The sequence below is a fragment of the Homo sapiens genome, chromosome 9, assembly GCF_000001405.40.
Source record: "Homo sapiens chromosome 9, GRCh38.p14 Primary Assembly".
In the NCBI taxonomy this organism is placed as follows: domain Eukaryota; kingdom Metazoa; phylum Chordata; class Mammalia; order Primates; family Hominidae; genus Homo; species Homo sapiens.
Window position 1 is genome coordinate 94,750,017 of NC_000009.12, and position 26,230 is coordinate 94,776,246.

A 26,230-nucleotide genomic window follows, 5' to 3' on the forward strand; every position below is an offset into this window, starting at 1 on the left:
TTAACTTGGCTGAACTCAGACTTCTAACTTTGCCTTTGCTGCTGTGGAGAGCAATCAAAATCTCAGTTTAGTTGAGTTCATTTTGCCTGAAGGAGGCTGTTTGATCTCCTCCATACTTGCATGGTTCAGGGGACAATTAGGGAATTGGGCAGAGTTTATATACAGAATATGGGACTCTTGCTTTGTAGACATCACCTTTCCTAAAGTTTTCCTTCTTTTCTCTCCAGCTACTGTGTTGGTCTTGAACTCTAGTCTCTCATTCTTCAGCCAGTAAGACTCCAGGTTTCGGCCAGGTGCAGTGGCTCACGCCTGTAATCCCAGCACTTTAGGAGGCTGAGGTGGGTGGATCACGAGGTCAGGAGATTGAGACCATCCTGGCCAACATGGTGAAACCCTGTCTCTACTAAAAATACAAAAAATTAGCCGGGCGTGGTGGCGGGCACCTGTAGTCCCAGCTACTCGGGAGGCTGAGGCAGGAGAATCACTTGAACCTGAGAGGCAGAGGTTGCAGTGAGCCGAGATTGGGCCACTGCACTCCAGCCTGGCGACAGAGCGAGACTCCGTCTCAAAAAAACAAAACAAAACAAAACAAAAAAAAGTTCAGGTTTCAATCTGAGTTTTAACCCATTTATGCTTAGCGTTCCATTACTGGAATGCTAAACTTATGGCAGTTATTTATATCCTGCTGCTCGAGCTCATCTCCAAGGTCTGATGATTTTTCTTTTCTTTTCTTTTCTTTCTTTTTTTTTTTTTTTTGTGAGACGGAGTCTCACTCTGTCGCCAGGCAGTGGCTCAATCTCGGCTCACTGCAAGCTCTGCCTCCTGGGTTCACGCCATTCTCCTGCCTCAGCCTCCTGAGTAGCTGGGACTACAGGCGCCTGCCACCACGCCCGGCTAATTTTTTGTATTTTTAGTAGAGATGAGGTTTCACCGTGTTAGCCAGGATGGTCTTGATCTCCTGACCTCGTGATCCGCCCACCTTGGCCTCTCAAAGTGCTGGGATTACAGGTGTGAGCCACCGCACCTGGCCAAAGGTCTGATTTTTCACAAAAAAGAAAAATTGCAACCTCTGGCATAAATGGGTTAACTGCCTTGCCTGGCACCAACTAGGGCTTTCTCTCCGGTGGAAAACTATAACGCAGGAAGCTCAATGCCATTCCCTTCTTCCACGTGTTGGCGCCTTACAGTTCTTGTCAGCTTTTTGCTCACTCTCATGGGCCTTCAGAAATTTTGTCTTTTTGTCTAGAGTTTATAAGTACTATCAGTGGGAGGATTAGTCTGCCAGAAGGTACTCCACTATTACCAGAAGTGGTACTCCCTTTCATTTAAGGAGAGGGCAGAATTATATTAATTAAATAATCAAGCAGACACATGTAAAACTAAATGTAAAACTAAAACTGTGTTTGTTGTGCTACTAAGAAGCACACATCTATGAAATCTAATAATAGGGGAATTTGACTTAATTGGTGAGGTCAGGAATGTTTTCCTTGAGGACATGATGGGGTCCAGAGAGTTACTAGACAAAGACAGAATGGAAGAGGATTCCACGTATTTGTTGATTGAGTGATATAATCCAGCTTTCTATGTATCTGGGCTTCTTTTCTTTGCACATATTGTTAACCTCTCAATCTTTAATCATCTCTCTGGGCTTCTGTGATAATAAAAGGTAATCTATAGCTCTGGTGCCTCTAATGTTATACAATGAAGAATACCCTACATGAAAATTTCTTTTTTTTTTTTTTAACTGAAATTTTAATTTTAGATCCAGGGGGTCCATGTGCAGGTTTGTTGCAAGGGTATATTGCATGATGCTGAGGTTTGGGCTTCTATTGATCCCATCATTCAGACTGTGAACAGAGTACCCATGAAAACTTTTTTTTTTTTTTTTTTTTTTGAGAAAGGGTCTCGCTGTGTTGCTCAGGCTGGAGTACAGTGACACAATCACGACTCACTGTAGTCTTGGCCTCTCAGGCTCAAGCAATCCTCCCACCTCAGTCTCCTTAGTAACTGGACTATAGGCGTGTACACCACCATGTCTGGCTAACTGTTATTTGTGGAGAGAGGTCTTCCTATGTTACCCGGGCTTGTCTTGAACTCCTGGGCTCAAGTGATCCTCCCGCCTTGGCCTTCCAAAGTGCTGGAATTACGAGCATGAGCTACTGCACCCAGCCTCATGAAAACTTCTTCACCAAAAGGAATTGTGGGTCTGGACCATTAAGTGGTATATCATAGTCTGTGGGCTTCTGGCCAATGTGATCAACTGAAGTGTAAGGAAATCTCCCTTCCACTTCAGGTATTTAGAAACAACAACACACATACAGACACACAAGTCTCTCTCTCTCTCACACACACACACACACACACACACACCCCACATGCATGTACCAGGGAGAAAGAACACATACGTATCAGTAAATGCATGCTAATAACAAAATTCTTTCTTATCAGCAAAAAGATATGCCAGGTTACAGTGGAATCTTGTATTCAAAGTGTTAATTAAAAATAACTATCAACAAAAGTTCTACACTTAGTTAAGTGGTCATTCAGTAGAGAGGATGTAATACAGACATTTTCAAACATACAACTGTTAAAAGAGTTTGTTACCCATGGACTCCTCCTAAAATAATTACTAAAGATAAACTTAAGTAAAAAGGAAATTGTGGCAGATTGTATTTTCCAAAAATGGCCATAACAATATCTACCATCTTCCATGCTTTTCTACAGTATACCTTGCTACTCCCCCATCAAAAGATGGAGTCTAATCCCCTCTCCTTGAATCTGGATTGGCCTTATGAGTTTGCACCTGAAAGCAATAGACTATGGTAGCAATAATAACCATGTTGACTTTGAGGCTCGGTCAGAAAAGGCCATGCAGTTTTCAACTGGTACTTTGAGATGCTCGTGCTGGGGGCTGCCAGCTACCATAGAAGATGTACAGCCATTCCAAAAGCTCAGTGTTAAATAAGCTTTATTTAAATAAACTTATTTAAGTAAGTTTAAATAAGCGGCCTTTCTGGGCATCAGACCCTCCAGACAAGTCCATCCTCCAACTGAGTACCATTGAGTAACATAGACAGATTCATAAGATGTAGAAGAGTGGCCCAGCTGACTGTTACCCACATTCATGACCTATAGAATATAATAAAATGGTTGCTGTTTGAAGCTACAAAGTTAATTTGTCATGCAACAAGTAGAATAAAATTGGACCCAGAAGGAAGGAGTGGAATGTATAAATTATCAGGAGTAAGGAAGCTGGTGAATATATTTGTAAATACAAATAAATATTGACTTTAAAAAAGTTGGATGGAGTTTTAACAAACAATGTGATACTAAAATAATAGCAACAATAATATGGAAGCTGTTATGGAGTAAGGAAGAGGAAGACTGGTTATAAAACTTTCTAAGGTCCTTATATTGTTTGGAAGGTTATTCGAGATTGACTTTAGGCATATTAAAGGCATTGATTGTGTAAGTTATGAAACAGTGGAGGGGAAAACAGGAATGTAGAAAAATTCAATAAAAAGCAGAAAAATAAAGCTAAGAAGCAAAGAAAATCATGGGCGATAGAAAACATAAAATATGTTGATTGAGATGGTGCTGTTACAACTGTAATTGTGATAAATGTAAAGAAATTCATTTCAGTCATTAAAAATGATAATTATATTTTTTAAATAGCCAGCCAAATGTTGTTTTAAAAAGACAGCCAAGGCAAAAAGAGTCCAGAGCAGTTAAAAATGAAGGGATTGAAAAGATGTGCCGGGAAAAAGCAAACCAAAAGAAAGTAGGTATGACAGTATTAACATCAGGCAAAACGGAATTTCTAGACATCTCGTGTTTTCTTCTCAGGATACACCTGTGCCTCTTTTTATGCCACATCTTTTTACTTGCATGTGTGCAGCTAGGAGATGTGCGTAAGGAGGCTCATTTCAGCATTGTTTGCAATCAAGAAAATTTTCAAATAACTATCAGTAGGGGAACGTATGGATACATTATAGAATATTCCTGTGGGGGCATTAAACAGCAGTTAAAAGAGACAGATTTATATACATCAACATGTCTATATTTCAAAACCATTGAGTGAAAGAAGTTGCAGAGTAATATGTCAGTGTGACATTTATAAACACAAAACAGTATATTTGAACTTCTAAGTTTCCTTCTAATTCTGAAATTATTGAATTTCACAGTAGTAAGCTATGTTCCTGTGACTATATGCATTTGAGTGTGTGAAGAATTGTGCCCAGAAACAGTGTATTTCAGCAAATACACTGACTGTTATTAAGAGCAATTGGCATATCCTAAATAATGGACACACCTGGAATAGCAGAAAGCTGTCATTCTCTGATCAAGTAATCGGTGGAATTAAATAGTAACTACTCAACAGTGTGCTCTATGCTATAGAATGAGCATATGTGCAAAAATAATTTCTCCTTTCCCCCAGTTGCTTACAAGTAAAAAGATGAGGCATAAAAAGAGGCACAGGTGTATCCTGAGAAGAAAAAATGAGATGTCTGGAGGGAGATGTTAGTTAAGCAATAACTTAGCACTAGACTATAGAGTACAGGCAAGCTAGAATCCCTGTTGTATAAGTAACTAGACATTGAAATCACAAATACCTTTGGATGGCAATTCCACAAATATTTATTGAGAACCTGCTGTGTTGAGGATACTCCACTTAACCTGGTCATGAACACAAAAATGATTCAGGAGTTACAGGGAATTTTTAGAGCATTGGAGGATGGAAGTAACTATAAAATGAGCCAGGATAAGTTAGAATCGTGAGGATACACGTTGCTTTGTAGCTTGAAAGGAGAATGAAATTGTTTTCGTTGGGGTGATTGGGGATGGCGTTACAGAGGTTATATCCCACATTTGTAAATGGGTGCATTCCACTTTGGATGGCTGAGAATGGCAGAGCAGTTTCTTCTTTGTGCCATAGCTCTGTTTAGTATGTGATCCTCTTCCCCCTTAAGAAAAATATTACTGTACGCTAATCCTTTCAAAGCCTTTAATGGTGCTGCTGAGACAATCATTTAAGCATTTAAAATACATACCACATAGCACACTTATTTTTTCTTTTTTTTTTAGCACACTTATTTTAGACACAGCAATGGTTAGCCACTGGAAAACTAACCACTGGTTTTTATAAGGGGGGACCTTTGTATGTTATGGCTTATGACAGAGAATGGAAAAATGCTTCAGTGAGACAGGCTGGCATTTTGAATTGGAGCACAGTAATAGCCAAAAGTGCTGAAGTCAACGGACTGCTTAGAAATATGGTTTCCATTTGCTGAGAGAGGCCTTGCAAGGTGGCCACATACATGCATTTGCAACCACAGGCAGTTCAGTTTTTCCCTAAATGTGGGGCTGTGACCCTGATTGATGTCAGTGAGCGTTACGTACTTGCAGAGAGAAAGATGATTTAGGTCATCCATGAATCTAAGACAAGTAAGACATAGACAAATAAGCAACAACTTAATAGACTTATATATAATTTAGGTTGGAAATCATGCAGAAGTGACAGTGCTCTTCAGAATCTTCTGGGGCTGGCTTAAAAGTTCTCCTTTGCCCCCCAAAGCTATTACAATAAGAATTGGTTACTAGTCTGCATAACTTGAAGAAGATAAAGAAGGTCAAAGGAAGATGTGGAAAAGAGACTTAGAGGTGACATTTGATTTATGACTTAGACAATATGAAGGAGATGGCCATGAGACCTGGGAGATGAGAATTCCAAGGAAAAGCATCAGCAAGTGGGAAATGTTCTGTTAGTGGCAAACAAAAAGAAATGGGTGACCTTGAGCAAATTACTTTGCCTCTCTGGGACCCACTGTCTTCATTTGTAAAATTAGAGAGTTGGATTCAGTGAGCCCTAAGGAATTTTTCAGCTCCAAAGTTCAATAAAATAAAGATGACTTAAAGTAGGCCAAATGAAGTTGTTGATTGTTTTTAAAGATGGCAACCCTAGGCCAGGCAGGGTGGCTCACGCCTGTGATCCCAGCACTTTGGGAGGCCGAGGCAGGCAGATCACGAGGTCAGGAGATCAAGACCATCCTGGCTAACATGGTGAAACCCTGTCTCTACCAAAAATACAAAAAAATTAGCCGGGTGTGGTGGCGGGCACCTGTAGTCCCAGCTACTTGGGAGGCTGAGGCAGGAGAATGGCGTGAACCAGGGAGGCGGAGCTTACAGTGAGCTGAGATTGTGCCACTGGGTGACAGAGCAAGACTCTGTCTCAAAAAAAAAAAAAAAGATGGCAACCCTAAGGTTGGCTTAGGTGTGATGGCTCACACCTGTAATCCCAGCACTTTGGGAGGCTGAGGTGGGCAGATCGCCTGAGCTGAAGAGTTCAAGACCAGCCTGGGCAACATGGCAAGACCTCGTCTCTACAAAAATTTAAAAAGTTAGATGAGTGTGGTGGCATGCACCTATGGTCCCAGCTACTTGGGAGGCTGAGGAAGGAGGATCGCTTGAGCCCGCAACCCTAGGGATGTTTGAATGTTCAGAATAGGGTGTAATCATTGAAGGGGAGAAAATGTTGGCAAGAGAAAAATGTCAAATGAAACAGGGTTCAAGTAAGTGGAAGGGGATGGTGTTGAGAGAACACTTCTTCCCCACTTCTCATGTTTCCTTCCTTGTTGGAGTTCAGTCAGTGTAACACTCCTGGTGCCTTTATCCTAAGGGAGGTGGGGTGACATAGTCTGATAAATTTGGGAAGAAGAAACTGGATGTGCTCTGCTCATCTCCTCCCTTTTGCTTTTGGGCAGCACTCCTGACCACAGAGAACCATTTTTCTCTCTTCCTCCAGGCCTTAAGTCTTACCTGAGGGAGGCTACCCCCCGTTCTGGAAGCTTTAACTTGATCCAGCATTGCCTGTGACCATGTGGATAAACCTAATTTTGTGATTCAGTTTCCAGGTACCTTTGGCTCTCACAGTAAGCCATGTTCTCCAGCTTAGCCTTCATCAGTAGCGATATTTTGGTCTGCCTTTGCCATATCTTCATCTTATTTCTTGCTACATTCAGAATCTGGATAGGAGAGGAATGTGCTGTTTACTTGGCTCTCTCAAAACCCCAGAAGTTGGGATTCAGTGGGGCAGAATAAGCTTAATAAGCTTTGGTGAAAAGGGATATTGTTCCCTCTGAATCAAGAGAAGGTAATACTTATGAAGAACTAATGATACTTTGAGGTATGGTTGAGTTGCAGAGATTCAGAATTATCTCAGCAAAGCAGGGGGCCAGATCATCAACTGAGAATGAGTCAGCAAGCTTGGAATTGGAAAGTTAAAAGTTTTAGAATTGCCTCTGTGGAGAGTATGCGAAAGAATCCACTAAAGAGAACCAATGGATTGTCAGTCAGGGTGACAAACGTTTCATCACTTAAAACACATACCACGTAGTACACTGATTTTAGAGGCGGCAGTGGTTAGCCACTGGAAAGCCAGCCATGGCTTTTCATAACAGTGGTTCTGCTAACAGGCTTGAGTGGATAGGGCTCTAGGGCAGCCTCATTCTCTGCCACCAGAAACAAAAGTGGTGACAACTGCTCTGTAGAATATATTTTATGCCTAAATTATACAGATTTTTAGAAGTGAATTTAGGAATCTGTTAGAGTTAGACAATAAATAATTATATCTATAATGTTAAAAATACTAAACTTTTTCTCTGAATATAATAGTTTAGCCAGCCACTAAATTGACCCTTGTCTCAGCTGATGCTGGTTTTCCTTCTGTGTGTGTGTGAGCATGTGTGTGTTCAGGGCTTTTTTTTAATCAAACAAGTTTTTTCAAAGATGCCCAGTCAACAAAATACTGTATGTTAGCAGCCACAGCCACCATCAGAATGAAGTTTTAAGATCACTGTTTCTGATTACATAGAAATAGCCAATGGATTTATCGAAGGTTATTATTCAAAATGACAGGACAGAAAATACTCTGGCTTATCCCCTGTGCTCATTCACTTTTCTAGAACCAAGGGAAATACCAGCTTCTCCATAAAGTAAATTCAAACTGTTCTTTGCAACCTTGTTTCTCTCTACTTCTATTGCACTGAAAGTGTGCTACATATAGTTCAGTGGGGGAGGGAGCAAGGACCAGGGAAGGGTTTTAGGAGGTGGTTGCACTTAAACTGGGACATGGAGGAAGAATAGGATTTGGCAGGTGGAGGTGGAAGGCAGGAGCCAGGAGCGCTCCAGGTCTAGCACATGGGTTAGTCCAAAAGGCACTGAGGCCTAGAGTCAAGTCCTCTTCAGGAAGCAGTGTTTTGAGTAGGCCCTTTGGCTAGAGGACAAGGATGCAAGGGAATGTTGTCTCCATGACTGGAAAAGTAGCTAGAAACTGGATTGTACAAGGCTGCAGGAGGCAGGATTTTTTAAGGTTAGGTGAGATTTTGAAGAGGAAATAGTCTGTGGAGAGAGGTAGAAACTGAAATCAATGGGATATTAACCTAGAATGAGATTCTAGAAGGAAAGGAAATAAAAGGGTCTAGTAGAGATGCAGATAAAGCTGGCAGGGAAGTGAGGAGGAGTTAGGATACAAAGGGAGGGCTTGATTTACTTGAAAATTCAAGCAAGTAATGATGTTTTGCAGTTGTTGAAAGAATGCCTCCTGATATTTAGAAATACGAAAATTATTTTAAACATATCTGCTCTGTCAGAGTTTTTCTTTCTGTTCTCCTGCCATTTCTTTTTTGATTTTGGTAAAAGAATAAAAAAAGAACAGCATATGCTGAAAGAAACTAGGTACACAACGGGGACTGAAATAATTTCAAATAATTTTTCTTTTAGCCAGATTGCTAGTATACAATAAGAATATATTTTGATTCAGAACTTTTATGAAGAACTTGTGCATTTTATTGTAACATCTGTTTCTACATTTTAATTTCTCTCCTTCCTTTTATAGGTATTTGCCTGCCTTTTTTTTTTCAAGTGAGAAGACCTTTTGTTTGCCACAAGAAGGCTATTATCCAGAATGTTAATGGGTTTTCAGCTATTAAGATGTAATGATATACCTTGAGTATTTAACTATAAATTTGAAAAATCTCCGTGAACAATCTCAAAGGAATACTTAGAATGCACTCCTGGTAAATTGGCTCATTTTCCTGTAATTTACTGGAAGTGCTGATATGAGAGCAGTCCTAATGTGAAAAGTACATTAATCCCTGGAGTTACATTGTATGTATTAAATTATTACTCTCAAGGAATAAAATGTGTGGGGCCATTTAGCCTTCATTCACACTTGTTACTTGGAATCACAGTGGAAAAACAATCACTTATCTTTTGATGCACAAAATTAGAAGGGATACATTTAATATCTTTTAAGACTAGAGGCACAGTGATGCTGGGTTACACTTTTGCATAACACTTGCTGTTTTCTAAAAGAAGGACAGTTCTCATTGGAGCGTGCTTCTTCTGGCTTTGTGGAGGCCCATGCCATCCAGTTGGTAATTGAAATATTTTTAGAAACCCATAATGCAGCTTTCTTTCATGTCAGTAGAAAAGATAAGTCAGCCTTCTAGCCATGAGCATCTACCGCTTGGGGGATTATTTAAGGATGGTGGTCAACTTGCAGGAGCAGCAGTTGCAGGAGCACTTAGGTCTTATTTGGAATTTTATCTAATTGTGCTTTCCTTTTTTGCCAGGAGACTGAAAGGAACCATAATTTGTGACATCAGTTGTTTTCTTTGATAAGCAGCTATTTATGATTCTGGAAGATTAAGGCAGATAGGAAACCCCATCTGAGATTTTAATAAATCCCTCAAACAATAAACCACATCATGGACATACAGCTGGACCCTGCCAGAGATGACCTGCCTCTCATGGCCAACACCAGCCACATACTTGTGAAGCACTATGTACTGGATTTGGATGTGGATTTTGAAAGTCAAGTCATTGAGGGGACCATAGTGCTTTTCCTCGAGGATGGAAACAGATTCAAGAAACAGAATAGCTCTATTGAGGAAGCCTGCCAATCAGAATCAAACAAAGCCTGCAAATTTGGGATGCCTGAACCCTGCCATATTCCCGTGACAAATGCAAGGACCTTCTCATCTGAAATGGAATATAATGATTTTGCAATCTGTAGTAAAGGTGAAAAAGATACTTCTGATAAAGATGGTAACCATGACAACCAGGAACATGCTTCTGGGATTTCTAGCTCAAAGTACTGCTGTGACACAGGGAATCATGGGAGTGAGGATTTTTTGCTAGTGTTGGACTGCTGTGATTTATCTGTGTTAAAAGTCGAGGAGGTGGATGTTGCTGCTGTGCCAGGTCTGGAAAAATTTACAAGGTCTCCTGAGCTCACGGTTGTTTCTGAGGAGTTCAGGAATCAGATTGTACGTGAACTTGTGACTTTGCCTGCAAATCGTTGGAGGGAGCAGTTAGACTATTACGCTCGCTGCAGCCAGGCTCCTGGCTGTGGGGAACTCCTCTTTGACACTGACACTTGGAGCTTGCAGATAAGGAAGACAGGGGCTCAGACAGCTACTGACTTTCCTCATGCTATCAGGATATGGTACAAAACTAAACCTGAAGGGCGATCGGTTACATGGACCTCAGACCAGAGTGGCAGGTAGGTTATCCAAGCACTTCAAAGCCCTGTGCCTGTTAATCTTGTACGCTGCGGGGATGCTTTCAAACATGAGACCGGCTCTGCAGAGATGCTCCTGTGTCTTCTGTGACATTACCCAAGTAGCCTCAAATCCTTAGACCTACAGTGAAGCAGGTAAATTCCCAGGCATGCTAAACCCTTAATAGGATTAGCTCCCTTAAGTCAGGATGAAAAGATTATTAAGCCCTCCCTATTTCTGAGTTAAGAGATTGAAAGCCATGCTTAATGATGAAATCCTGAGCCTCGCTCTCCATTGAGATCTCTGCTGGTGACTTGGAGTGCTGTAGATGGGAGTGATACGTCTCCGAGTGAATACTTGCTTAACGTTCCTTCATAGTCCCTTGAGAGACCAGACTGCCATGAAGCTGGGTTGGTGTGAAGCCTGGCAAAGTGCTTTCAAATAAAGCCAGCTCTGCTTTGTGCCTTCCTTACCGTACTTGTCTATTGGCAGCTATGCCTCCCTGACTTTTGTCAGTTTTCATGTAACGTGACCCCCCCCAAAGCATACAAAAGACCTGTTTCTGAGCAGCATAACAGTCCTCTGAGACTGCACACTGGCTTCTTTGGCTGTGATTCTTGGTATTTGGTACCAGAAAGACCGCTGGGTTTTCGTTCGAGGAGAAGGAATTGATGGAGGTGTCGTTTTCTAGAGGATACATTTAGGCAGACCTTGCTCTAACAATTGTTCAGATTTTTAAAAATCTTTTTCTTATTGTCTTTCCTCCAACAGTTGTTCAGATTTTTTTAAATTTGAGAATTTTAAAATCAAACTTTATTGATTCCTCCGTATTTTACCTATTTGTGCTAAAGTACTGCAAATCAATATGGTAATTATTGCAGAGCTTGGATGGAGGAACGTTGACCTCTGTTAGCTGGGTTTGGGAGCCTTCTTTTATAGCGTTGTATTTCCTTAATTGAAGCAGTGGTCTTCGGCAATTGCTTACATGTCTCCCTCAATTCATCCCCCAAAACACCTTGCAGCTATAGTTTTTTAAAGCCTCACTTTGACTTTGAGCTCTAATTATTCATTCCTTGCCTCTAATCTTACCTTCTGTTCTGGTCTCTCACCCTGCTCAGAATGAGTTCACTTCCTGTCTTATTTCTGTTAGAGTCTGAGGCAGCCATTGTGAAATTGCAGGGTTGGTGCAAACTTACCTCAGTACAAAAGCGTAGTGATTTATTTATAGAATACCTTATTAGATAGTTTTTGGAGACTGTGAAAGAATGAAACGGGTGTTCTTATTGTATCTTCACACTTTTTTGAGATTATTAAAGATGGGAATTTCAATACAATATAACAATATACTATCTGAATATTTAACTAGGAAATTATAGTTTTTATACTCCTAGATATTTCAGTTTTGAACTAGAATAATGAGGAAGAAGGAACTATTGGCAGAATTTGGAAGAAATATTTATGGCCTCAAACATGACTTTCTCCTGAGTGCTTACTGCAAACAAAGAGATTAGACTGGTGAATTAAATGACATGTAAAAGTGATGAGTACTTACAGATAAATGATGGTTTCTATGAAGAAATTAAAGAGGGCCAGGCGCGGTGGCTCACGCCTGTAATCCCAGCACTTTGGGAGGCTGAGGCGGGTGGATCACAAGGTCAGGAGATCGAGACCATCCTGGCTAACACGGTGAAACCCTGTCTCTACTAAAAATACAAAAAATTAGCTGGGCATGGTGGTGGGCGCCTGTAGTCCCAGCCATTCGGGAGGCTGAGGCAGGAGAATGGCGTGAACCCGGGAGGCAGAGCTTGCAGTGAGCCAAGATCGTGCCACTGCACTCCAGCCTGGGCGACAGAGTGAGACTCCGTCTCAAAAAGAAAAAAAAAAAAAAGAAATTAAAGAGGTCCTTGGGCACATTTTGCTCCTTCAAATGATAAATTTAGTCTTGATATCTCATTTTCTGATAATTCAGTAAATATATATGATCACAGAAGATGTTTAAACTGTATCCTTGGAAGTTTGGGAATATGTGTTAGTATATTAATGCCATTTGTGCAGTCTTCTGAGGATAAGAAAAATTATTTTAAAAAACAAATTCTAGAAAGGTGTTTTCTCTTTTTTTCCCTTTTTCTGGGGTGGGGAGTTTTATTTACAGTCAATTGTGAATGAGCACCAGGTCTCTCTCAACTCTCCCTTGCGCTGCAGAATAAATCTTAGGATGTACTGGTAACTGTTTGGATATGTTAAGGACTTTAAAATGAGTAAAGAATGCCAGTTGCTAGACAGAAATAACTTCTTAGTGATATAAATGAATAGTAATTATCAGGATCACAATACTTTATGAATATAATTGTGTGAAAATATAAAATTTTACAGTTGCGTGAAAAACATAACTAGCTAGAGCTTATTCCTCCACGGGACAGAGTCTGTCTACATTTATTAAAACTAAAATAGTTTCTACATATTTGTTCCTGAATTGCAGAATATTATCAGTTATACCCGCTCTAAGTTCTCAGGCTGGGATGAGAAGCTCTTTATTCTCATTTTACAGGTAAGAAAATAAAATGACTGGAAGCTTCTAGATAAATCTGTATCTCAAGTGAGAAAGAGAATGACTTTTTTTGAATTTGATCTTCACGTCACTTACTGTATGCAAAGCTTTCAAGTATATTTAAAACATAAATTTATTATGTTAGCTTTCAATAAATTTCTTTTTTTAAATTAGACAAATATAAGAAAATCTGTAAATTGGTACCTTTTCTTTTAAGTTCCATTAGTGGCTTCCCCATTTCCCACCTGTACTGTATCCCAGCTGAGAATAAAACTTGTATCAAAATGAAATAGCTTAATATTGATATGGATGGTTGCATATGGAAATAATTACAGATATGTGTGTTTCCAAGGGTTAGTGTGTGTGTGTGTGTTTGTGTATACACACACTGTATCTTGGCTTGTCAGCTGAGAGGGTCTTAGAAGTAAGCACACCTAGCACCCAGATCTTAGTTTCTGATACCATTTTCCAATGAAGAGAACTAGGACTTCTTGGAGAAATGTCCAGAACAGGGGCAGGAAATATACAAGATGAGTCTGGAGCATCTTGTAATGTCAGAAAGTAAGGAAGCCCTCAAACAGCAGGAACAACAACCCACAGCGATGGGGGTATGCCAGAGGGACAAGGGGCCGTCCGAAAGAGCTCCTCATGCCCCAAGCCAAGCAACAAAACATATCAAGTAGTTTCGAATGACATCCAAAAGTATGAAATAGCCATTAGTCCAGCTGATGTGAATAAACGATTGAATAAATAAACAAATGAGGAAGAATAGACAAATCCATGGTGCAAAACAATTCCAAGTTAGTTGTGGACATGTTCTGTCCTCAAGGAGGTGGGGCATAACTCCTCACTCCTTAAGTGTGGACTATACAGTCAGTGACTCCCTGCCGAAGAGAACAGAATGGAAAGGGAGAAAGAAGTAACTTTACACTAGAGAAATCTGACAATACTACCTCAGCAAGATGATCAAGGTCAATATCAATAGTGATAATTTATGGGGATAGTTTATTCTCTGGTATGATATGATGAAAATGGCATCTTTGTGGTCTTCCTCGCAAAAGCTCTTAACTCCAATCTAATCATGAGAAAAGCATCAGATACATCCCAGTCAAGGGACATTAAACACAATACCTGATCAGCACTTCTGAAAACGAATAAGGTCAGCGTAAAGTCTAAGAAACTGCCACAGTCAAGAGGAGCCTGAGGAGACATGATGATTAAAAGCAATGTGGTGTCCTGGCCGGGTGCAGTGGCTCACACCTGTAATCCTAGCACTTTGGGAGGCCGAGGTGGGCAGATCACTTGAGGCCAGGAGTTCGAGACCAGCCTGGCCAACATGGCGAAACCCCATCTTTACTAAAAATACAAAAAGTTAGCTGGGCATGGTGGCAGGCACCTGTAGTCCCAGCCACTTGGGAGGCTGAGGTGGGAGGATCACTTGAGCCCAGAAGGTCAAGGCTGCAGTCAGTTGTCTTTGTGCTACTGCACTCCAGCCTGGGTGATAGAGCGTGACTGTGTCTCAAAAATAAAATAAAATAAATAAAATAAAAGTAATGTAGTATCCTGAAACAGAAAAAAGACATTGAGGAAAAACTAAAGAAAGCTGAATGAAGTGTGTAAATGTATCAGTATTGGTTCACTCCTTGTGACAAGCATACTAATATAAGATGCCAGTAATAGGGAAAGCTGAGTATGGAGTATATGGAAACTCTGTATATTATCTTTGTGATTTTTATTTTTAGTTTTTATTTTATTATTATTTTATAAGACAGGGTCTCACTCTGTCACCCAGGGTGGAGAGCAGTGGCATGAACTTGGCTCACCAAGTTCTTTCTACCCTGAAATCTCTTTTGTAAGAGCTGTTTTCTCACTTTACCATGTGGCAGGGTTCTCTGGAGAAGAAAATATATTTGTAGTCTCAATCTCCTTGGCTGAAACGATCCTTCCACCTCAGCCTTCCAAGTAGCTGGGACTACAGGTGTGCAGCACCACGCCCAGCTAATTTTTGTATTTTTTTGTAGAGACAGGGTTTTGCTATGTTGCCCAGGCTGGTCTCGAACTCCTGGGCCCAAGCATTCCTCCCACCTCAGCCTCCCAAAGTGCTGGGATTATAGGCATGAGCCACTGACTGCGCCCAGCCTTATCTTTTCAATTTTTAAAATCTAAAACTGTTTTAATATAAAAAAATATATGCCAGATGTGGTGGCTCATGCCTATAATTCTAGCACTTTGGAAGACAGAGGCAGGAGGATAGCTTGAGTTGAGGAGTTCAAGACCAGCCTGGGCAACATGGTGAAACCCCTTCTCTACAAAAATAATAATAATAATAATAATAATAATAATAATAATAATAAGTCACAGCTACTTGGGAGGCTGAGGTGGGAGTATTACTTGAGCCCAGGGAGGTCGAGGCTGCAGTGGGTCATGTTTGTGCCACTGCACTCCAGCCTGGGCGACAGAGTGAGACCCCGTCTTGAAAAAAAATTATTAAAAAGATAACTTCAAATTTGGAGATTTCTACCCTGAAATCTCTTTTGTAAGAGCTGTTTTCCCACTTTACCATGTGGCAGGGTTCTCTGGAGAAGAAAACATATTTGAAGCTGTAAAGGAGTATTTATTATGAATGATTACCAATAATTTTATCATTATTATTCTACTTCTAATATGAAATATCTGGAAATAGAAAACTCAATTTTCCTACCTTAGTTTAGCCATTTGGGAGTTGTGCCAGTTGTTGAACCTAAATGCTTCTTGCCTGTATCATTCAGATACTGGATTGTAGGTGACATTTAAAATGACTGATGGAAGGAATACATATATAACAATCAGATACAATGTGCTTCTTGGAAAAGATGTTTGCTTTTCTGTGGTACGCGGGTCTGTGTGCCCTTTAAAAATATTTTGATGAGAACAAAGACAGGGTCAAGAGTTGTGTAAAGGTGTTCTTGCCAAGCTTCAAGAAAGGAATGGGACTTAATATGTTTTTAATTCTAGATCTTTGGTATACGTAAGAAATAAACTTTTAAAATGGAAACCTTTATTCAAAGTTGATGTGTTTTCTTCATTTTCCTTGTATTTTTAACATTTTTTCTATTCCCCTGAAGAAAACGTTATTTAAAACTGAAGCATTGGCCCGGTGCAGCGGCTCACGCGTGTAATCCCAGCACTTTGGGAGGCCGAGGCGGGTGAATCACAAGGTCAGGAGATCGAGACCATCCTGGCTGATGAGGTGAAACCCCGTCTCTACTAAAATACAAAAAATTAGCCGGGCGTGGTGGCGGGCGCCCGTTGTCCCAGCTACTTGGGAGGCTGAGGCAGGGGAATGGCGTGAACCCAGGAGGCGGAGCTTGCAGTGAGCTGAGATCGCGCCACTGCACTCCAGCCTGGGCGACAGAGCGAGACTCCATCTCAAAACAAAACAAAACAAACTGAAGCATTCTCTTTGATAACCCATTCTCTTTTTCGTTAGAATCATTATAATAGTTGTGGAAGCAGTCAAGTGGTTTAGGAGGTCTGAGCTTAAGCTGATGACATCACTGAATTTGAATTGAATGGAGGAAAATTCGGTTATGTATAGGAAATTTATTAGAAAAACTATAGCTATTTGGATTTTTGTTAAAGATAAGAGAGCTAACTGGGAAAATACATTATAAGATAAAGTAATATTAACATTTAAACTTTTGTAAAACATTGTGATTTTTTTGTTTGTTTGTTTTAGACAAGACTGGGATGAAGTTAGCAAAATCCTAAGGAGAACTACTTTTTTCTGTAATATTTCTTGCTCAGCTATTGGGCCAGGGAAGATGTAGACTTTGGGAGTATTTTTAGTTTGGAGTATCAAAACCAGATGTTAAAACATGTTCTTCCTCCCCCCTCCCCCCACTGAATTAATTTCATTATTTTATATCTCACTCTAAAGGAAAGTTTTAAAATTAAAAGAATGAGCAGAAGATGTTTTGGGAGAGATTTCAGGTCTAAGAGGAACATTTCCACAATTAGCACCTTTTTTTCCCCTTACTTTCTTCAAGAAACCAATGCAAAATTTATGAGAACTAAAGTGGAATACACATTAATTCTATGATATTGTATGACTGCAGAGTCGGAATCATGAGTGAAAATGCTTGGAAGGGTCGTGTTTTAGCTTCTTTCTCTCTTTGCTGCCCAGGCTGTGCATATGTCTATTTCCCAGAATCCCAGTTGAGTCACCATGGAAGAAAATACAAGGATGGACTGTATCAGTCTCAACAAGTAACCAACATAACCAACCGAATGAGAAATAAGTAACAAAGCATCTACAGAAAATAACAAATCGCAGTGCCCCGTATCACCAAGAGCATAGTGTGTTCAAAAGAACCTGGATGGTGGAAGCCAAGAGACCTAGTACTAGTGAGAGCTGTGTGGTAACTAGCTGTGTGACTTCAGATAGTCATCTTAGGTCTCTTCATTTCCTCATCTGTAAAACGAGAAGATTCCATGAGAGCATCTCCAGATTTTTTCCATGTACACAATCCTATACCCACAAGCACTTCCAGATGAGAAATAACTGTCTTTGCCTTTACAAGCAGCTTGCCTGTTTTGCACCCAAAACATCTCTGGTGAAGAAGTGATGAATTTCTGACTCAAAGCCATTTGCAGCCTTGTCCGTTTTGACTTTACGTAAAATCTATCTTTCTGAGTCAAAGCAGCATTCTCCCTGGACCTGCCATGTATTCAGTATGATTGATGAATTCTGGTTTTGGTAATTGTGCCCGGAAGTAGAAAAGTAGAATAATAATAAGGAAGAGGTGCATGTGTGTGTATAGGAGAGAGAGTGAGTCATTGCTAAACACTTCTTTTAGTAGTTCTGGTTCTTTGTGGCACAAGAAAGCAAGAGGGTTGCTCACGTATAATGGAGACTGTAATCTAGGTTTAATGAGAACGTGGAGTTATAAAAAAGATTAGTGCAGAAAGAAGAACAGATGGAAAGGAATTGGAGGAGGCCTGAAGACCTTGTAACCCTTGGAAACTTATAAAAGATTCTGACCCCCTAAACTGTCGCATCTGTGGCCCACCCTCCCCAGAGATCAGGTCAGGGCCTCATCAAGCCACACATGGGGCCACTGTGGGCTCATTACCTCCAACCTACTTCTGGCAGCCTTCTCCCCAGTCACCTAACAGTAGTAACCAGGTCTCAGAAAAAGGGTGACTTGATGGACTGTAGTGGAACTTAAAACATTTTTAAACAAAAAAAAACCCCTTTTTCTCCTGGCTGCGAAAAGACAAATGCGTATAGCAGTCAACGGAAGAAAAAGAAAATATATGGTTTTAAGCAATCCCTTACACGTTTGGTTGCGTAGCTCCTCCTTAGGAAGACTAGCAAACACGTTAGTCCTAGCTGACCTCTTACCTTGAAAGGCAGAGTTAGTATGTCTCATCCTCATTTGACCACTCTGCAAATGCACAAACATTTAGCCAGAAGCTGAAGTGATTGTTATTCTGACAAGTTCTTCCTCAATTTAGAAGTTCTTTAATGGCAGCAAGCCGTGGACCTGTGTCTCACCCTGTCCTACCCTGTTTTTCTCTTCTTTCTGATTTTCATTGTCCTCTCATTCCCACAACTCCTGTGCAGTTAATCTGGGCTCCCCAAGGAGTCTTCCATACAATTGGGTATTCCAGGGCATGTGAGATGAACCCTGGTGAGAGAGTTTTCCTTTGCATGTTGGAAGGAATTACTCGATCTAGAAATAATGAAGTTACAAGCATTGGAGAATTTCAGGCTGCTGCCTGCACGTCTATCCTATGAGCATTTTAGCAACATGGCCGAGGTGCAAGGCTGTGCATGTCAGATAAACACAGCTGCATTTATTTCTATGTTTACACATTCATTATAAACACACATAGATTTTCCTGCCTTCTGTGGAGGGGAAGGCATGGATGGGTAAGCAGGGAATTGGCCCTCCATATAGTTCTCATTTGAATGTGTGCATGATGGGGGCCATCTTTAGTCTGGAGTCACTATGTAGTGGGTATGATTTCATGACTCTGGGAAGGCCCCATGTTCACCCATCCTAAATTTGCTGGTAGATGACCAAGATTCCACCAGTAGAGCTTTATTCAGAGGATAAAACCTTCACACTGCTAAAATGTAGCTACCCAACTGTAGACTGATTTCAGGTTTGCACTGTGATGTCAGACATGCATAGGATATCAGCTTGTGAAACAGCAAAAAGCCATTGGTTATAAAGACTCTTAACTCCCTAGCGCTTGGTTTGGGCATGTTGGGAAGGGAAGAGTGAGCCTGCAGCTGATGAAGAGAAAAAGGCCAAGAAAAGAATAGGCTGGGAGCACAAAGATAATTTACATTTTCAAGGTGTGCCTACCCTAAGACCTCCCTCTTATGTGATTGTTTTCCTGCTTTTGAAAGGATTTCAGTAAGAATGTGATTGAGTCTCCTATCAGACATGGGTATATTAATGGGGTGTGGCTTTTAGATTGCTAACTTGATCTACATGTTCAGAGTTATAGCTCTGGATACCAAGTGGAAGCTAAAAAAATGTTAGACTTTAGCAGAAAAGATAACCCAGCCATGGAAAGAGGAGGGTGGGAATAGAGAATTGTAAGCACACTGGGGAGGGTGGAGGTGAGAGCTTGCTGGGGGCCTGGCCAGGTAACTGACCCCCTTGATGGAAGAGGTCAGGTGCCCAGATGCACAATGGCAGAAAGAGCTTTCAAGAGCGTGACAGAAGGGATCAGGACAAAATTCTAGAACAAAATGTCTAGAACTAGATAGCTAAAGAGGACATAATACTGAACTGGGAAGGAAAGGATGGTGACAACATGGTGGATTTTAATCCAGTTGGTGGAAGGACCAGCCCCCCATCGACTGACTCAAATATGCCTACAATATCTATGCGTCCTACTTCATCAAATCATCATTTTCACATTTTCTGAGGCAGGTCTGATTTCAGACATTTGAACCCATTCATGGACACCACACTGGGATTAGGAAAACATCCTTTCTGTGTCCATAAAAGTGTCGTCTGTCATGTGCTTATGTAAAGCCCTTTATAAGCAAATTAAACAGGTGCATGCCCTCCACCTTTCTCCCTGGACCCATCCTGTTCTTCCTTTCTTGTTCAGTAGCTTTGCCATCCATCTTATCACTTGAGCCAGAAACCTCAGAAAAGTCTGTGTTAACTATGGCTGCACAACAAATTACCCCCACACTTAGCAGTTTAAAAGAACAAACATTTATTACCTCTCACAGTTTCTGAGGCTCGGGAATCTAGGAGCAGCTTAGCCGGTGTCTCTTGCTCAAAATATCTTGCAAGGTTACAGTCCAGCTGTTGGCCGGGGCTGCAGGTGTCTCAAGGTGTGCCAGGAGCTGGAAAATCCTCTTTCAGACTCACTCGCGTGGCTGTTGCAGGCTTTGGTTCCTCACTGACTGTTGGCCAAAGGTCTCTGTTTCTTACCATGTGGGTGCCTCCCTAGGCTGCCTGAGTGACTTCATGACACTCATGGCCCAGAGTAAATGATGGGAGAGAGAGTGAGAAAAGATAGTCTAAGATAAAAACCACAGATTTTAAAATAGTCTCAGAAGTGACATGCCGTCACCTCTGCTGTATCCTGTTGCATCCCTGTCCCAGGTCAAACCTTTGCATTATCACGGCCTGTATACTTGTAGAATAAGTGTACTGCAACTGCCTGTTTGCTCTACACAGGTCTGTTTGGGCACACAGATCTGGTACAGTATGGAAGGGGACTACACAACGATGTAAATATTAGGAGTAAGGGGTTGTAAATATTGGAGGCCAGCTCAGCAGCTGGCTACTTCACAGAAGTCTTCCTTTCCTTCTCCCTCTTCTTCAGCACATCACTTACTAAGTCCTGATTCTTCCTGCACAGTATTTCTCAGATTTGACCTCATCTCAAATCCGATTGTTTCTTTGGGGAAGTGGTATGGAAGCTGATGGAGGCAGCCTTGGGGGCCACATACCTAAGGGCACAAGTGGAATGTGTAATAATATGCTAGCATGGCCTCCAACCCAGCCTTATAGAGAGGAGACCAACATCTTGGTAAGCCAGTCTTTTGGGGAGGATTTCTTCCCTGTGCAGGCAAGGGAAGACCCATAACACAGAGTTACCCTATGCAAATTAGGTGCTTATTGAACAGAACAGACAATAGAAGTCACTACCTGCTCCCCGCTTCACCAGCCCAATACCCATTTCACCCGTGACTCAGAAGTTGAGGAGCTTCCCCACAGTCATTTGGTAAGTTGGCAACCCAGGTGGTACAAAGGTGTTTAGACTTTCTGATCTTTCCCTGCCCCATGTCAAACCTTCACATTATCATGGCATGTATACTTGTAGGATAAGCGTACAGCAACTGCCTGTTTGCGCTGAGATCCATTTTCTGCTCTTATTGTGATCTTCTCCAAGTGACAAGGAACTTCATTTCCTAGGCTCTCTTGTCTTCTGGCTTCCTGCTAGGTTTGGCCAGTGGGGGCCACTGGTGGAAGATTTGAAAGCAGGAGCTGGCTAGAAATACGTTACTTCTGTAACGTATTTCTCCTCCTCCTGTTTTCCTTTGGCCCCTTCAGTGTGGTTGAGTCTCCTGTGGTCCCAGCTCCCCCTGGACAGTCCCCACTGTGACTCTGGCTTCTGCCAGATGACTCCTGCCTCATAACCCAGTAATCACCCAGCTCCTCCAATATGAGGAGTCACAGCTGATTACTGCTGTGGCTAATCCCTGGGTTGTCTTACTGTCCTCTGATTGGTCTCTCCGCTCTTCTATCATTTAAACTCATTCCCGAGTTTAAATTACCTGTTTGTTAAGACCTAGACTGGTTTCTCTTTTCCATACTAGACCCTGACTGATGGAGTTGAACCATCTTTCTGTGTTTTCTCGCACACTGTGTGAACACAATAAATGCTCAATTATAATGATGTTAATGAAAAAAGAAAATGAGTTTATCCAAAAGAAGTAGTGCTTTGCTCTATTCATTTACTTTATAAGTCAAGCTGACTAAAACTACATATTTGTCATTTGTCATAACTGAAAAACAGAAAGTAGAAACATTCTCCTGAGTTTTTTATGAGGAGTCAGTCTTGTTCCTTCTACTCTGGTGTCAAGAGTGGACCCTTTGATCTTGAGAATCTTTATCTTTGTCAACCATGACTTTATCATGGGACAGATCTTTCTTGGTTTGGGTAGGGCTGTACTTTCTAATCGCAGCAGAATGAGTCCTAATGCTGTGTCATTGGTTTTGCACATGGTGACTTGGTAACGACTCTGCGCCCTTGGCTTTCCCATCACAAGCCTGGTTGTTGTGACCCACAGTCCTGTTCATATGCCAGCCCCTGTTCTTGGCCTCCACACAAGGATTCCCACAAGGGTTCTATTTGAGATGGTGGCTTCCAAGATTGGGGGTATCTGCCTGCCAGCCCTGGATTTGAGACCACCAGCTTGTTTTTCCAAGCATTAATATCTCAGTGATCTCCAAACATATTTTCTTTTCCAGAATACTTTCCAAAAGATTTGTAAGAATGTCTCTAAAAATTTTCTTTTGAAGGCACCAGGGCCTGAGGGGAGGGGGCAAGGGTAATATAACTTGGCCGATTAGTATTTAAAACTTTATCCAAAAAATATTTTTCTCCTTAAATAAACCAACTCTTTTTACATATTTAAGTAATTCATCTGAGAGAAGTAACCACTCAGCTATTCACATAGCCAGCCCTTGGCAGCTTCAGTTCAAAATGCTAGGAAACCAGTCAACTACAAAGTTTCAAATGTTTTCTTTGAAAGCTCAACTTAACCTGCACTACCATACTGGTGAGAAAAGTGACAACTCATTTTAAAGATTCACCCCCTTTCTTTCTTTGTCTCTCTTCTGCAGGCCATGTGTTTATACTGTGGGATCTCCCATAAACAACAGGGCCCTTTTTCCATGCCAGGAGCCACCCGTTGCCATGTCAACATGGCAGGCTACAGTTCGAGCAGCTGCATCTTTTGTTGTTTTAATGAGTGGGGAAAATTCTGCCAAACCAACGCAGCTTTGGGAAGGTACTGTACATGTGTTCTTTGCTTATTTATGTATTGCACACATGTGGACCCAGGAACCCAATAAACAGTATTTTTCTAAACTTTAAAGAGCTCCTTTATTAGTTGGGTTGGAAATGATCATAGTATAAAACATCCTGCCAGGGAAAACAAGCAGGGGATGGGGAGGGACACTTAGGAGCCTGGGCATGGGATTTGGGGCTCTTCATACTAGAGTTGTCGGTTCATAGACTATTTCAGCAGTTGCTTTCACCTGGTGGTTTGTAGGCCATAAGTAGGTGGTCTTGACTGAAGACGTTCTGAACAGGCAGGTGTACCATGGAAACACCATTAGAGTTGAGTTGTCTGTGATTTGTTATGGTGTCTGTACATGGTTATTCATTATGTTAAGAGATAGTGCTCTTGTTGGCTGGCCCACTGGAGTTGTCTTAATGAAGCATCTTTTCTACACATGGTTTGCCTGTGTAAAGTTCTGAACCAAAGGTGTATAAGAAAGATGGAAGGCAGTGCTAATGCATCATCAAGGTTTTATCTATGAATTACTTCTTATTGCAGCATTTAACTTTTTCAGTGGAGATCCTGAGCATGTTGATGCCAGGAAAAAATTTGTTTATTTGAGAGACAGGGTCTCGCTCTGTTGCCCGGGCTGGAGTGCAATGGCTTGATAACGGCTCACCGTGGCCTTGACCTGCCAGCCTCAATTGATCCTCCCACCTCATCCTGCCAAGTAGGTGGAACTACAAGTGCATGCTACCACGCCCAGCTAATTTTTGCACTTTTTTTGTAGACATGAGATTTTGCCATGTTGCCCAGGCTGGTCTTGAATGCCCAGGTTCAAGTGATCTGTCTACCTCAGCCTCCCAAAGGTGTGAGCCACTGTGCCTGGCCAGGAAACATTTTTATAGTTATATTATTTCTTTATTTAAAATATGGCATCTCCTTTGAGACCATCCTGGCTAACACGGTGAAATCTCGTCTCTACTAAAAATACAAAAAATTAGCCGGGCGTGGGGGCGGTTGCCTGTCGTCCCAGCTACTCGGGAGGCTGAGGCAGGAGAATGGCGTGAACCTGGGAGATGGAGCTTGCAGTGAGCTGAGATGGCGCCACTGCACTCCAGCCTGGGCGACAGAGTGAGACTCCATCTCAAAAAAAAAAAAAAAAAAAAAAGGGCATCTCCTTCCACATATTTATTATAGAAACTTTAAAATATACAGAAAACTAAAAATAAATTAAAAAAATTATAGAGAAAATTATCGCTAAGATTTTGTTACATTTCCTTTCAGTATTTAAAATCTATATGTTTTGTGCAGTTATCATCCTCAAATTGTGATAGCATATGATGGTGTTTATTCTGCCTTTTTCACTTATAGTGTATCTTGAACAATTTACAGGTCGTTAAATATTTTTAATATGATTTTAACATTGGCACAATATTTTTTATCTGAATATATCAGAATTTAACATTTCTATATTAAATATTTTGATTATTTCAGTTTTTTTCCTGTTATAAATAAAGTTGCATTAAATTCCAGGGGAGACATTTTATATAAAATTAGAATTACTGAGTCAAAAGTTGGAACATGTTTAAGGTTGTTGGTACATATCCCATAATGTTTTCCAGAAAGGCTGTGCCAATTTATACATTCATCTGTAGTTATGAGGGTCCTTGTCACCTGGAACTTTGCTCATCTGATAGGCAGCAGCAGGTCTCTCTTTAATTGGATTACTTTGATGATTAGTGAGTTTCACATGTCCTTATATGTTTCTTAACCATTTTCATTTTCTGTTTATTTCCTTTGCCCATTTTTTATACTGAAGACCTAGATTTTTGCCATTTGTCTTATTTTTCAATTTTATTGGCTCTTTAAAAAAAGATATTAATTTCTTATATTTATGAAAAGCATTGCTCCCAGCTTTTGGTATATCTTTTAATTTTATATGATGTGTCTTTTTATGAAGTTAAATTTATTAGATTTCTCTAAGATTCATTTTGTTCTGATATTTTTATAGTTTAATTTTTATAACTCTTTAATCAGTCTGTAATTTATTCTCATCAGGTTGTGAAATGAGGACTAAACATTGTCTTTTTTTTTCAAATAGAAAACCAGTTGCTTCAGGATCATTTATTGAATTTTTAAATTTTGTGATGTCTTTATCATAAGCTAGATTAACGTATGTACTGAAGTCACCGATGAGTATTTACTTGATTTTTTTTTTTTTTTGAGACAGAGTCTTGCTCTGTCGCCAGGCTGGAGTGCAATGGCGCGATCTCTGCTCACTGCAACCTCTGCCTCCCGGGTTCAGGCGATTCTGTCTCGGCCTCCCCAGTAGCTGGGACTACAGGCATACACCACCATGCCCAACTAATTTTTGTATTTTTAGTAGAGACAGGGTTTCACCATGTTGGCCAGGATGGTCTTGATCTCTTGACCTCGTGATCTGCCCGCCTAAGCCTCCCAAAGTGCTGCAATTACAGGTGTGAGCCACTGCGCCCAGCCTTACTTGATTCTTAAAAACAACACATTTAGGCTGGGACAGTGGCTCACGCCTGTAATCCCAGCACTTTTGGAGGCCCAGGTGGGCGGATCATGATATCAGGAGATCGAGACCATTCTGGCTAACACGGTGAAACCCCATCTCTACTAAAAATATAAACAAACAAACAAAAAATTAGTCAGGCGTGGTGGCGGGCGCCTGTAATCCCAGCTACTCGGGAGGCTGAGGCGGGAGAATGGTGTGAATCCGGGGCTTGCAGTGAGCCGAGATCACGCCACTGCACTCCAGCCTGGGTGACAGAGTGAGACTCCATCTCAAAAATAAATAAATAAATAAATAAAATAAAATTTTTATATTTAAAAATAAGTAACATTTACGTGGTTCATTTATAGAAGAACAAAGGACAAAGCATTATGTGCAATAACGTGTTTTTCTTACCTCTATTTCCCAGACATCCAGTAACACTTCCCCAGGCAACCAAGGTTACCAATTTCTCTTGAATAATATGTTTTTTCTCTTTTGTTGTACAAATTGTAGCATGCTAGACACATTTTTGTATTGTGCTTTCCCTTTTAGAATAAATT

The 26,230-nt window shown here is 40.9% G+C and overlaps 1 protein-coding gene across 51 annotated transcripts in view; it reads left to right on the forward strand.

Annotated features, from left to right (window-relative positions):
• AOPEP (aminopeptidase O (putative)) overlaps window positions 1-26,230 on the forward strand; it is a 423,526-nt gene that overhangs the window by 23,318 nt on the left and 373,978 nt on the right. For 37 of the 51 annotated variants that reach the window (NR_169862.1, NR_169863.2, NR_169864.1 and 34 more), the window contains exons 2-3: window positions 9,633-10,564; window positions 22,986-23,152. The exons of 1 other annotated variant lie outside the window; for it this stretch is intronic. Coding sequence is in view for 38 of the 50 variants with exons in the window: in XM_011519121.4 (XP_011517423.1) it covers window positions 9,768-10,564; window positions 22,986-23,152 (964 nt within the window). In the remaining 12 variants the exon portion in view is untranslated. Of the gene's footprint in view, window positions 1-8,893; window positions 9,075-9,632; window positions 10,565-22,985; window positions 23,153-26,230 lie in introns of those variants that run through there. 13 more of the 51 variants (NR_169865.1, NR_169866.1, XM_017015234.3 and 10 more) reach the window with 4 other exon arrangements.